The 15,170-nt window shown below is 34.4% G+C and overlaps 1 protein-coding gene and 1 long non-coding RNA gene across 5 annotated transcripts in view; one reads left to right on the top strand and one right to left on the bottom strand.

Annotated features, from left to right (window-relative positions):
- The window catches only part of LOC107985779 (uncharacterized), a 151,402-nt gene extending 140,930 nt beyond the window's left edge, over positions 1-10,472 (top strand). For both annotated transcript variants that reach the window (XR_007087247.1, XR_001739132.3), the window contains one exon: positions 10,199-10,472. This is a non-coding gene — a long non-coding RNA (uncharacterized LOC107985779). The remainder of the gene's footprint in view (positions 1-10,198) is intronic.
- Positions 1-15,170, bottom strand: part of LRP1B (LDL receptor related protein 1B) — a 1,899,594-nt gene that overhangs the window by 1,520,955 nt on the left and 363,469 nt on the right. The window lies entirely within an intron of this gene.

The raw sequence follows: 15,170 nt of genomic DNA on the forward strand, positions 1-15,170 counted from the left end.
ATACTAAGGAATTAGGATTCCTCCTAAGAATTACACATCTGAAGGCTGTCCTGAAAGACTTTCCATACTCGATGATGCTCTTTTGGGTACCACTACCTAGATGCACATTTAGCTTATTTTCTTCCTCACTATCCACTAACTCCTGTGGTCTGCTTAGGGCTCTGCCAAAACCGGTGGTTCTCAAAGGTAGCCATGGATTGGAATGACCTGGGTAGCTTTTAAGAACTCACTGTTCAGATCACACTTCAAACCAAATAAATCAAAATCTTGGGTGGTGTGTGTGTGTGTGTGTGTTTATAGTTGTGGTGATGGTAAGGAGGGTGGGGAGGCGAGGTGGGTCAGCCATCAGTATTTAAAAAAATATCCAGCCTGGGCAACATGGAGAAACCCTGTCTCCACAAAAGCACAAAAAATTAGCTGGTTTTGGTGGTGCATGCCTGTGGTCCCTGCGACTTGCTTGGGAGGCTGAGATGGGAGGATCACTTGAGCCCGGGAGGTTGAGCCTACAATGAGTCGTGATCATGCCACTGAACTCCAGCCTGGGTGACAGACTGAGACCCTGTCTCAGAAAAAAAAAAAAAAAATTATGCTGGGTGCGGTGGCTCGAACACCTGTAATCCCAGCACATTGGGAGGCCGAGGCAGGTGGATCACCTGAGGTCAGGAGTTCAAGACCAGCCTAACCAACATGGAAAAATGCCTTCTGTATTAAAAATATAAAATTAGCTGGGCATGGTGGCATATGCCTGTAATCCCAGCTACTCGGGAGGCTGAGGCAGGAGAATCGCTTGAACCTGGGAGGGGGAGGTTGCGGTGAGCCCAGATTGCACCATTGCACTCCAGCCTGGGCAACAAGAGCCAAACACACACACTCTCTCTCTCTCTCCATATATATATATATATATATCCCAGATGATTCCCATGTGCAGCCAAACTTCAGTATCACAGCCATAGACGTTTTATTTTCCTTTGTTTTTATTTCTCCTGTTCCAGTTGTATTCTCCACCAAATCTATAACCTGCTTCATGTTCTCATCTGTAGCCACAATGGGCCCACCAGTTTGTACCTAAATGCTCACGCTGTCCACTCCCGAGGGTGTGCGTATTAGACTTGGCTGGCCATTGCTTATTAGGCCCATAAGAACAGCTGACTTCCTTCTCACTGGATTTATTTTCTTTGTACGAATGGAATGCTATAGCCTGGTAGCTTGCCTTTCTTTCACTATTTCCCTCTCTAGCCATTTCCCACACAGTAGCCTGATTCACATTTTTATATGAAAACAACATCAAGTCACTTCGTTATTGAAACCTCTCCAATGACTTTCCACCAAGATCTCAATTCGACAGCACTGCATAGGATACTTTCTCCGATCTACTGGCTAAAGTTGCCCCTCAGTGCAATTACACTATATAAAATCACCCTATTTTCTTCATAGTACTTTTCCTTAAATAAATATTTTTTACTCACTTTGCTTGGGTTTTTTTGGTCTCATCAATAGAATTTCAGGTACCGTGTCCAGCTCATTTATCTTGTAACCCTAATACCCAGGAGTGTACATGCACACAGTAGATATTTTAACTGATATTTGCCAAATGGAAGAAGTCACTCTGATTTCAGACTTCCCCATACCAGGTCATAGCTATCTAGTTGTAGCTGCACTAGCATGCCCTGTACTATTGAAAACATAGTTATCTGTTGGTCATCAGAGAATATGTCCAGAATTCTTCTGCTTCTCATTCTTATCCATGCATGCAAAATAAGAAACTTAATTCATAAGGCATATCCCTAGAGTCTTCCTGAGAATCTCATTTCTTGCAGACTGTCCTCAGGCTCTCTCATTTTTGACCTCTAACATTTCTACGGCAATGAAAAAAAAAATCCTTGGACAGATTGCTTTCCATTAGCATGGATAATTGAGAGTTAACAAGGCACTATTATTTTTCCAGGTGAGCAAGTTACTCACTTTAAGTAATTTTAAAAATATTACAGATTTGGAAATGCATGGATTATTTTAGTCAGCAGTGTATAATTCAAGAAATCAATATTTCAGGGAATGGATTGATATCTAGACAAGTAGAAGACATTTATGTATTTCTTAAAATACCTACTTACCAATGCATAATAATACCATATTTAGTGTAAGTTTAGAACGCCATTCAGTGGCAACCAACATATAGGTATGTGTATGCAAATTGGTTTCAGTATAAAACTCCCTCCTTGTCCTTTAAACATATTCCTGTTGACGCAGTTTACCAAAGTTTCTCCAGAGATATGGAGCCAAAATAACTGTCCCTCCCTTTAGTGGTGCTAAATATGACCTCTTAACCCAATAGCTGTGACCAAATTGGACTAGACGAAAATGTCAGTAACTCAACCATGCAATTGCCTTTTTTCCTCCTAGCTATTCAGATTTAATAGGGATGAAACTTAAACTAATAAATTATGAAATCATATATCTTGACAGATGATATGATAAATATTCTAGGAGGTGTTTGATTCCAATTTTAAGGCTAGTAGGATTTCCTCCAAAATATCTAATTTCCAGGAATAAATGAATAGTTCCTAAAGAAGATTTGGATTATTTTGATATAAGATAACCCATACCAAACTCTGCTATCCTCTTATATATATATAAAAGGAAAAACAGCAGAGGGTAGGTAAACTGTCCCTCATTTCAAATTAGTGCAATGGTTGCAATAGGATCATTCCTCATATTGGGAATTATAATTTCTCATTTCTGAAAGGAAACTTTTAGAGGAAAGCAACCATAGTGAAGAAGATTCTGAGAGTTTAATTCATGTAGTTTTAAAATATCACATGGTAAAACACCATAAATTGCTTTAAAAGGCAAATGATAAACAGGCAAAATATTATTAGAGACTGTCTAAAAGATATGGAAGTTAGAATCCCTAATGTACAATAGGTTCTTATAAACCAATATCATAATATTCCAATTTACATACCCCAATTGAAAATCATCAAAAACCTTAAATCAAAAGAAATACACATAGACCACATACCTATGAGGAAAAAAATTAGCTTAAACTAATAATCAAAAAAGGCAAATTAATACAACCATATGTTACTAGTTCAAATATCATAATGGCAAAAATGAAAATAAATACTTTAATATTACTACTCAGTCTTGGCAAGGCTATAGAGAAAAATCATGTTTACTGCTAAAGAGGTCACGAGGTAAAAACCTTTTGGAGGGCAACAAGTCAGCAATATGTTTAATAATGTTAAAATGCTATAATTTTTAAACTACAAATGTTATTAAGATTTTATTTTAAGGTAATATGGAAGTATATACAAAAGGATGTTGTACAAGAATGTTAACTTCAGAACTTTTCATAATAATAAAAATTGCAACAAATTGGAATATCCAGATATATGTAACTGGCTGAATAACCCCTACTCTACCTATAGGGTAGAATCCAGAGTGCAAGCTGAAGTGTAGATTTATATATTTACTGACTCTTTAGTAATTTAACAATCTGGGAAATCACATAGGTCTAAACTTTAAAAAAGGTAAATACAGCATATACTCTACCATTATTTTTAAAATATATAAAATAGTGTTGTTCACACAAATAGGTTTGCACAGAAAAAAGATAAAGTAAACAAAAGTAGACGTATATGACATTTAAATTTTTATTCATGACTTTTCTCCATGTTATTTATAATTGGAACAAATAGCTATTAGTCAACAAAACCTATCACCTCCCAAATTCCCTATTAATTATTGTCTCCCTCTTACCTTCTTCTGCATCCCTTTTGCCAGAAACTTCAAGATTATTAATGTTTCCACAAATGTCAAGTGTTTTAATCAGTATGTTGATATTTGAAAACAAGTTTAGCTGAATTATTAAATTGTGGCCGTTTAAGTTATGTTCTGTTTTCCTAACAACCCAACCAGCCAGCTTTCCCCAATAGAAGGGTTCTTGACTTTAATGAGTTCAAATTAAATGATTTGACCAGCACCATGCAATTGAAAAATATATTGAATTCAACAGGAATTAAGTCCAATTTCCCAAAAACATTCATCCAGGACTTATTATTTGAGGGTTAAGTTTCAATTTATTTAACTAAATCAAGTTGCAATAAGAAAGGTTATAAGCTTAAAATATTTTATTAACTCTTAAATCATGATTAAATCTCTCAAATTACACACACACACACACACACACACACACACACACACACAATCTTATGCCAAATAACATTTGAAACATTGTTGGAAAACATAGAGAATGGAGGTCCCATAAGATTAGAATACTGCATTTTTACTGTATCTTTTTATATTTAGACATGTTCCCATACACAAATACTTACATTGTGTTACAGCTGCCTACAGTGTTCAGTACAGTAACATGCTGTCTAGGTTCATACCCTAGGAGCAATAGGCTATACCATATAGCCTAGGTATGTAGTGGGGTATACCATCTAGGTTTGTGTAAGCGTACTCTATGATGTTTCCACAGTGATGAAATCAACACATTTCTCACAACATATTCTTGTTATTGAGTGACACATAACTGTATATACATATATAAAAATATATATCTATACACACATACACATATGCAAATACACACAAATATGTAGTCATTTCTCAGTGTGAATGGAATAAGAAAACTATTATTTTTGCCTTTAGAAGCATTATCTTTAAATGCTTCTAAAGGTTTAATATTTGTACATTTTCTAGCCTTGATTTTATAAATACAAACCTGTAAGTTATGTCACATAACCTTCATACTCATTAAATGATAGATGAAAAGCAGCAACAATTAGCAGTAGAAATTTTTTTAAGTCCACTTAATTTAAAAAATAATTTTTGAATACTCTTCTTATCGATTTCAAATAAAAATCACTTACAAGTCATTGGTAATTTGATGCCACATTTCACATGACCTAGAACCTTGCTATTCTGACTGGTTCCCTTATTAGTACCATTCCTAGCTCCTGGGAGCTTGTGTGAGAGATGCACAATCTCAGGCCTCATCTCTTTCCTACTGAATCAGAATCTGCATTTTATAAGATCCTTAGAAGAATTATATGCACACTAATGTTTGAGTAATACAAAATGAGAGGAAGAAATAATGATGATAATAAATAAAATTTAAGATCCATAAGTGCATAAGCTTTTGTGCATTTATTGGTTGAGGAGTAATCAAACTATAACTAATTTTTTTTGAGACAATCTTGCTCTGTCACCCAGGATGGAATGCAGTGGTATGATCATAGTTCACTGCAACCTCAAACTCCTGCCTCAATCTCCCAAATAGCCGGGACTACAGGTGCATGCCAATATGTCCAGCTAATTTTTAATTTTTTTTTATAGAGATGGGGGTCTCACTACATTGCCCAGGCTGATCTCATACTCCTGGGCTCAAGTGATCCTCCCACACTGGCCTCTCAAAATGCTGGGATCACTGGTGTGAGCCACTACACCTAGCCTCTTTAACTAATTCTAACTCAGTTTTTCTTCCTAAACAGAGCCCCATAGCTTATTAATTCAGCGTTTTTCCAGCCTTTGCAAGATACAGCAGAAATAACAATGGTGAATGCAAAAAACTTAATAGGAAAAATTCAAGAAGATAAATTTTGAGGTGGACTTAACCTTGTCTAGAACCAGAAAACAGACAAAACAGGTTATGCGTAGCTGCATTTACAAATTATGCAAATTCGACAGCTGTAGTTTATGCAAATCATATGTAGGCCCCTTAAGTGTATCATTAACCTACATGAGTTGCTTGGGAATTCCATACACAGAGAGGAGCAAAATTTATCTTTTCTCTTCCCCCCACTCCAAATATCATAGGAGTATTAAATTTGTAACAACTTAATATGCTTTATTGTATTTTTTCAGATAAAAACATCACATACTGCTTTGTATAATCCAATTTATTAATTCATGCTATTTTGGCCTCAGTAATTCTTATCATTTCAGTATTGCATATAAAAATCTCACAGTTGGGTAGAACATTCAATGTTGAATGTCAAAATGTATTTTTTATTTAACTAAATCTTAAGTTCTGCATGAGTCCATTCTAAACGTCATTTATGTGTCAATAAATAAAATATATACATATATATGTACTGAATAGCTAACATGCTCAAAGTATTATGAATAATACATAAAGAATGGGATAAAACATAGGAAATTAATAGGTAATCACTAAACAAAATCTTGAACAAAACTCAATAATGATTTAACAAGGTATGTATTTACTTAGAGTATTGATTGCTTGTTACAATCTAGATAACTCTACTAGGCACAGGATATATAAAAATGGGACAAAAAGGAAAACTCTTGCCATTAGGAAATTTATACTCTAGTGCAAAGTAAATTTTTGTTTTATTTGATGTTTAACTTTTGTTTTTATTCAGTTATACTTTCCTTTTATTTCTATGTGATCATTAAAAAGTGTCTCATTTAAAATATTTTGAAGAAAAGTACTAAATACTCCTTAGTTAATTAATTGTAAAGGAGTGCTGATAAAATTATTCTGTCCTTCAAATTTCAATCTAGAAAACCAAAGTATATTTTCATGAATCAAATGTTCAAATAGTAAGATTTAAGACAATCCTCTGTTGTGGAAAGCCAAATCATGATTTTTAAACACGTTGATAAAAATAAAAGGAGAAGGCTTTGGGAAAAAAATGCAAAAGTCATTCAAAGAAATGTATCATCACTCTAAAAAATGACAAAAAATAAAGTCCTCTGAAAAATGTTTTCAATCCCCAGTAGAATGAAAGAATCTATAGACTATAGACTTTTGGACCACAGAAAGCCATGACATAAAAAGAGACTGAGATAAAAAGTTCATATGAACAGATGGAAAGTAGTAAGAATAAAATTACAAAGAATACAAGGAAGCTCTAAACTCATTTGCAGAATGATAGAACTCATTTGCCCTGATAGAAGGGCAACATTTATTATATTGCATAATGACAAAATAACGATACAAAGGAAAACCTTGAGATGTGCTATTAGAATGCAGAGTCAAGAGTGGTAAGATGAAAAATAAATTGAGGAAGTAGATGATAGATGACAGCTATGAAATATAGGGATAGGGAATGCAACTTGTGGATCATTAGCATTTTTAAAGAAATGATTAAGCATATTAGAAAGTGGAAATATTCAAAGATATAATAGAAGAATATTTATCAAAACTTTACCAAAATAAATCTGTGATTAAAAGAGCCTAACATGTTATACGCTAAATCATTGAACAGATAACCAGTCTTAGACGTACCATGGGAAGTATCAGGAGAAAGAAAACTGTTTATCTCTAGATAGAAAAAATAAACAAGCAAATCAACAAGGTGGAAGAAAATATAATGGATGGTCTTTTAAAATATTATTGAGACTACAATTGAGAAAGATGTTTAGATCTTTGAGGGGGAGACATTGTCTGAGAACTTTAGAGGCAGCCACATTACATGTCAAAAGCAATGGAAAAATATACTTGAATATTGGCGAGGCACCTGTAATCCCAGCACTTTGGTAGGCCGAGGCGGGTAGATCACCTGAGGTCAGGAGTTTGAGAGCAGCCTGGCCAACATGGCGTAACCTGTCTCTACTAAAATACAAAAATTAGCCGGGCGTGGTTGCGTGCGTCTATAATCCCAGCTACTCGGGAGGCTGAGGCAGGAGAACCACTGCCTCAATGTCAAGTTGGCAACATCTATCACTACTTGTGGAAATTTACTTCCGTTTGATGTAGTAGTTCTACTTTTCAGAATTGTTTCAAAAACTATCATGTGTTAATGCAAAAATACATCTCTTGTAATGTTCATTATGAAATTGATAACCAAAACTGGAAAGAAACCCAGTCTTCATCCATAAGTTGTGAGTAAAATAAGTGATGGTACAACCATTTGATGGAATACTAAGACGATATGAAAAATGATGTGAAATGCTCATAAGTCATTGTTAAGTAAAAAAACACATCTTCATTAGGATTCATCTTATGTTTGTGTGAAAATGTCATAATAGATGTATTCATAAGTTATTAATGTTAATTTACAGATGGGTGATTACGAGTGACCTTTATTTTCTCAAACAAAAACATATTTGTTCAAAATATTTAAAGAAATTTATTATTTTATGGTATGTAAAACAAGCTGCTCAACAAAATGTTATTTTAAAAGAGCATTGAGACAGCATATATTTAGTGCAACTTATATACAACAATAAAGATGTATATTTTACTGGACTATACACTTAACAAAAGAAAGCAAAATCTTTTTAAGGTTGGGTCATGGATTGTTACAGAGTTTTCAATTTCAGAAATATTTTGTATTCATTGTTTCATACAAGAACACTACGTGATGGATTTATATTGGAAGCAAAAATAAGGACACTCAAAGAAAATCAACACAGTGCACAAAACTGTGAAGATTCTTACAGACGATGGCTAACATATTAGAGTCACTTGTAACATGGTGCTTTCATGGCCTTTACACACCATTTATCACATAAGAAAGATTATCCCAACTTTTAGAAAATTATTACTCTCCCCACTTTACTTTAGCAAAACATCTTTCAATTACCCTAAAAATGTTTAAGTTAGCTATATTTGTGGGCACATTTTCTGTTTAGCACCTCTGTTCTTTTATTATTTTATTTACGGAGTATGGGGTTGACAGACTGAGTGATCCTGAAATCTGTAACATGAGCATGTACGTTTTATAATGCTGAAATATTGCATAGGAATACAAGATGGTTAACCTCATTGTTAGGAAACACTCTTCATTAAGTTCAGTGATATTTGTGTTTCTGTAAAAAGAGATTGCTTATCTATTATCAGTTGATCCAATTTCTGGCACCTGAGTGAAAACTATTTTTTTTCCATTAAATCTGGTCAGTGTGTTTGGGAAGAAATTGCAGTACATTGCCCAGAGGTTCCAAAACTCTTTGTTCATATATCCTTTATTTAATGCCTCAGGAATTTTCCCTCAGCAATCCTAAGTCAAAAAAAAAAAATACATTGAAGTCTAGTTTATTATGTAGAAGTACAAATAACTTAATAAATATTTATATCAAGCAACATAGAAATCATTTGAAAAATAACACAAATACACTATAAGAAAAAAATTTTAATTTCTTCCACAATTAAAAATTTGCTTAAAAATAATGACAAAATAATGATACAAAGGAAAAGCTTGAGATGTGCTATTAGAAATTTAGAGGCAGCCACCAATACTTAAAAATTTATTTTACTTTTAAATTTTATTTTTATTTGCATACCTGTTGGACACTGAACAGCATCTCAATCCTTGGAATCTGACTGAATGCATCACTTTATTCCTAAGCCACATTTTCAGGCAGCCTGTGCTTTTTGTCATAAAAAAATGCCAAAAACCCAGCTTCAAAAAGATAAGATATCATCAAAAGGAATATGCAGGCCAATCTAATATTGAAACTGTGAACTACCTCAAGCTAGTAGTTTGCACTGTGTATGACATCTGTCTAGTATTGCTATGTTTTCCTTCAACATTTAAAATATCCCAGAGTATCTCATGAGTTTGCTCAGTGCTCCAGGATTCCATGGTACACAGACTGGAAATCATGGCTATCATCTGTATTCTAAGGTCATAAAATCAAACTCTCTGAAAAGAAGATTTTCACAGCAATCTTTTCTTCATGTCTAAAATGCTTTAATCAAGGTGTTTTCTTTATGGTTATTGTCTTTTTTTTTTCTTTTATATTTAGTTAAAAATAATTTGGTTATCCACTGATTGGGTGAAGCTGACACTATGAGAGAAAAAAGTAGGAAAAATAAATGACATTTTCTCTGTGAGATGATGTATTTTAGCAGCCTTTCAATTCCAATAAATTGGCCACTGTTGAGTATTTCAATAAGCAAAGACCATAGGGAGCAGGGAAAAAAAATGAATGATGCATAATGGATGATGCCACGGGAGAAGATGAAGATGAGGGAAAAGAAGAAAGTCCCTGTCCCCTCAAAAAGGGAGGGGTAAGCAAAAGATGAATTCATTTCTAGAGTTCTGCAGATACTTCCCATAGGAATGGTGACCAATTTTGTAGATGCTTTACATAGCATATTTAAAATGATAGATAAAATATAAAACATTAATCTGATAGTATAAAAATATGAAATAGTATAAAATATATGGAGGTTATATATATAATATATAGAAATTGTATATTTTTTTACTCCGTATAGTGTGAAAATGAGAAACAAGGCAGGAAGGATGTTGTAAGGGAGATAATGCAGCATGATAAGGTTTCAACACAAGTCTGAGGACGTCTCTCAGGTGAGATTGTATGTATACTGTTTGTCCTTGTGCATATATGCTGGGGGTTGAGGATAAGAAGGGTCATTACTTGCGTGACTATAGTGTTTTTCTTTAAGTTCTCTTCTCTAGAAATTCAGCTAATGGGACATATATAGAGAAAAATATTTAAAAGTTAGTAAATGGATTTATTTGTAACTGAGATAGGCTTCACAGGAATTTAGTTACCAGGTCACATCCCAATCTCTCTTTCTATATGAGGTTTGAAAATGTGAACTGCTATGCATAGCTTGGGCATTAGCCCCAAATTGCTATGACAATTAATGAACCAGCTACGTGTACTGACATCTTAGGTGCAAGTTGTAAAGCAAATTATCTGTGTATTCTGCTTGGCTAAATGTATATTTGTAGCCCTTTCATGCAATAGAATTCATGTTGTTGTGTATAAGAGAAGAACAAAACCGATAATAGGAGAAAATTGCCTTTCTGGATAGAAATATAGAATAGCCATGCTTATGATTATCACAAATAAAGAATTCAATTCTTTACATGATTGAGTGAGAGTATGTATAACCTGGTGGTGGGTGAGTTCAGAGTACCTTTAAACCTAGTATGCCCAACTTGATTTAATGTTACAATACAATATTTAACTTAAAAATTTGATTTAAATGTTGATGTTGAAAGCTCAAACCTATACTAAGAAATTTTCTGAAAGAGATTATTGGGCTTAAAATAAAAATATATATTTTTAAAAGTTAGTAAATATAGATTACATTAAAAAGAAGCTCTCAGGCTGAATGCTCCCCCGACAGTATAAAACTTTCAAAGAAGAAACAAAACAAAATCCTCAAAAAACAGAACACAAGTATCTCTATCTCAATTAAATTAATGTAGCCTTAATGACGGTCAGTGATGGTAAGTTTTTTGTTAATGTTTTGTTTGTTATGAAACTACGACATGATGGCCAGGTTTCAGTATGGTGTACAATTTTATATATTGCTGGTGTAAGAAAAATAGTGTTTTTATAATTTTGAGCAACCAATTTCAGAATATATCTTAAAGAAATAGTCAGATGCAGAAGATGTTCATTACAACACCAAATATAATTGCAAAAGTAACATTTTAAAAGCCAGAAGTTTAATATTAAAGATAAGAATATATAATGGTAAAACCATAGGAAGGAATATCTACATTTAGGCAAAATGATTTCAAGTATATAAAAAGTGAATATGCTTGATAATCCTGAAGGAAGAGAATAATATATCAACAATGGTAACCTCTGGGTGATGGTAATACAGATTATTGCAATTTGCTAATTCACACTTTTTCAGAAGTTTTGAAATTTTCCATGGCTAGCATGTATTACTTTTATAATAAGATAAAAGTTCTTAAATTAGTGTTCTGGACTGAATATGTCATCCGAAAATTCGGATGTTGAAGCCCTAACCTCTAATATGACAGTAATTAAGGACAGGACCTTTAAAGAGGTAATTAAGGTTAAATGAAGTCATAGGAATGGGGCTCTGTCTGACAAGATGGTGTCTTTTTTTTTTGAGACAGAGTTTTGCTCTCACGCCCAGGCTGGAGTGCAGTGGGGCGATCTCGGCTCACTGCAAGCTCCGCCTCCCGGGTTCACGCCATTCTCCTGCCTCAGCCTTCCAAGTAGCTGGGACTACAGGCGCCCGCCACCACATCCAGCTAATTTTTGTATTTTGTTTAGTAGAGACGGTGTTTCACCATGTTAGTCAGGATGGTCTTGATCTCCTGACCTCGTGATCCACCTGCCTCGGCCTCCCAAAGTGCTGGGATTACAGGCGTGAGCCACCGCGCCAGGCACAAGACAGTGTCTTTTTAAGAAGAGGAAGAAACACCAAAGATCTCTCCCATGTGCTCACAGAGAAAAGGTCACATGAGGACACAGCAAGAACACAGCCCTCTACAAGCCAAAAAGAGAGGCCTTGGTGGAACCCAACCCTGCTGACACCCTGATCTTGGATTTCCAGCTTCTAAAACTGTGAGACAATACATTTAGGACACTCAGTCTATGGAATTTTTTTTTATGGGAGCCTGAGCTTAATAATACAGTTTGTTTAACCAAAATGTTTATAACTATGATAGACAACGAAACCTTATAATGAACTTAAGTGAAAAAAAATTCACACACAAAATAGTGTGCATACTTATAACGCAACAAGATCAAGAGCACAAATATATAACAGAAAATATTTTATCAGATCAGTTTCCTATTTTTTCTGTTTTCCCATACTGTTTGTTTTATCTATAATATTATTTTTTAAATTGGTGCCAGAGGATAACTAATATTATTGAAGCTGGCTGCAAGCTGTCCAAATCCTATTGACGATGATAAAATGAGTTTCTTGGGAAAGCTCTTTAGTAATAAGACATGAGTCCTGCCTGAAAGAATGAGGCCAAGGCTGCCATTTCATACAAACAAACAAACAAACAAACAGGGAAAGAATTCGCAAGTAGGTTTTTCTTCACAAGTGGCAAAAATAATTTAGTATAACCTGAGAGAAGCAGAGATCCGTAAACAGTGTAAATGGTTAATAATCAGCCTGACAAGAACAAGACAATACATTTAAGATATTTTAAAATAAATCATCCAAGTTTTAAAAACAATAGAGCTAAAAGCAGAATTATAATCTTCTGAATATTTTATGTTCTCAGGTATTAACATTGTTTTAGATAAAAGGTTTTTCATTCATAAATAGCTAGCTTAGTTTTTTTTTCACTTATAGGTATTGTCTCAAACTTTCTCAGTTTAATTCAGAAACAATTTATCAAGCTTAATTGAGGCCAGATTGCTCAATCTTGGCTTCCAAAGCACCTGGAACCTGCTGACAGCAAGTAGTAGCAATACCAACAGAGACCAGGTAAAATTCTAAGTGATATCTGGAAAAAAAATTAGCTAAATTTCATAACACATCCCTGAAACTAATTAAAAGTGAAATAATGGATATATCTGACATTTTGGCAGAAGAGTTGCCATTTTGCCCGGAAAGAAACTTCTACACACATAAACCCTTTTTCAGCACCATCCAAGCTGTTCAGTTTCAAAGGGAGCAAAGGTCGCTTATAGAGCATCTTGTCTTCAGGTGGAATTTATAACTGATGATTCCTTTTTCTCCTTATTTCAGTGATTCTCAGCAATAGCATCTCCTCAGAACTTGTTACAAATACAAATTATTGAACTCTACCTCTGACTTCGAAACTCAAAAACTCTGGGGTTAGGGTCCAGCACTTTCCAGATGATTCTGCTGTACATTCAAGTTTATGATGTACCGAGTTAATGTCATTTTCAGGGAGCCAAATATCTACTGTAAAAGGAGCACGTGAAAAAAATCACCCCATTGCTTTTGTTTCCTCTCCATTTCTATACCATGCCCTCAGTTGCTTATTGATTTCTTTTTTACATTTATAAGCACAAAATTAAACTATGGGTAATTAGCTGGAGCTGTTTTTTAAGAATAGAAAGGATTGTCAAGAAATAATAAGAAAATATTAGAGAAGTATAGATTTTCAGGCAGCTTAAACATGGTCAGACTACTTGAAGATAAGAAAAATAGGAAAAACCTAGGATAAGCAGCAGATTTGGGTGAAATTGATTGTACAAATTTCAATGGATAGGATACAAAAACGTGTCATCTGTGTGTTCCAGATTGTGTGAAATCTCCAATGATTCTCTGGTCACACAACAAGCTGCTCTGTAACAGACGCTACCTTTCAATGGGTGCAGCTGCATTTTCAAGGCTAGTATCTTATTACAGCTAATGTCCTCATCACTAAAAGTCATTTGAAGTGGTTAGCTTAGAAGGATCTGAGCAGAAAGCAGGAACTAGCTTTCTAGAGCACTTTATTTAAAACTCATCTTCATGGCAAAAATGATAGCAGTCTTTCAGTTTCTCTTCAAGAGTCCTCAAGAGCAGAGACACTTCTCTCCAACAGAAAATGGAGAGAGGCAAATCAAAACTAATGCACAATAGGATGGAGGAAAGTGCCTTTATGAAGACCTGCTTGGATGATTACAAGAGGCTTCAATCATGGCACAGAAAATCCTTTTGGCTCTGTGTGAATGTCTTTCCCATCTTTCTGTCTTTCTTTTCTCCAATAGTAGGAAAGTCATTATCCGTCTCTTCTACAATTTCTTTTAACCATATAGCAACTACCATGACAACAGGAAGGCTTATAGCCTTGTACATATGCTATGTTTGATCCTCCTGTCCAACCTATCCCAATTGTTTGAACCTCATAGAGAGGGGAAGAAAATAAACCCCTCTAATACAGTTTGATTAATAATTTACCTCTTTGCACAAATCTTATACAAAAGGAGAGAACATAACAATTTTTTATTATTCTTAGTTGGACTTTACCTAAAAGAAAATAATGGACAGAAAATCTCCTAGAGATAGGCTATAGAAATAATAAAGCTTTCAGGCAAAAAGCCGTGATAGAACAAAGAATGTCATGCACCCAACAGTAAACAACCCACCAGCTTTTGACTCAGGGAGAAAACTGACCACAGGAATCTGGGGGAATCCATGTCTTCATCCTTTAGTATCTGGCTAGATGGTGAAGGAAAGCTATGCAAGGAAAGTATAAGGAGCTAAAGTATTAAGCAAAGTTGCATGAGTCACCATTTTTATTTTAAGAGATAGCTTACATAAGCACTTCCATTCAAAAACCTGTGGATTCTGTCTGCAGCCACTTCTTAACCAAGCAGGAGAAAGCATGTAATTACTAAAGTTATTGGATAGGTTCAGGTCAAATTATCTATGTCGCTTAACTCTCCTCAAGTGAATTCATATTTTTATCTTCTCTTAGGACTTATACATTTGTCAGATTTGATGAATAGACCGTTCATTTCTTTCCCTCAGGAGTTGC

This window comes from Homo sapiens, chromosome 2, assembly GCF_000001405.40.
Source record: "Homo sapiens chromosome 2, GRCh38.p14 Primary Assembly".
Classification (NCBI taxonomy): Eukaryota; Metazoa; Chordata; class Mammalia; order Primates; family Hominidae; genus Homo; species Homo sapiens.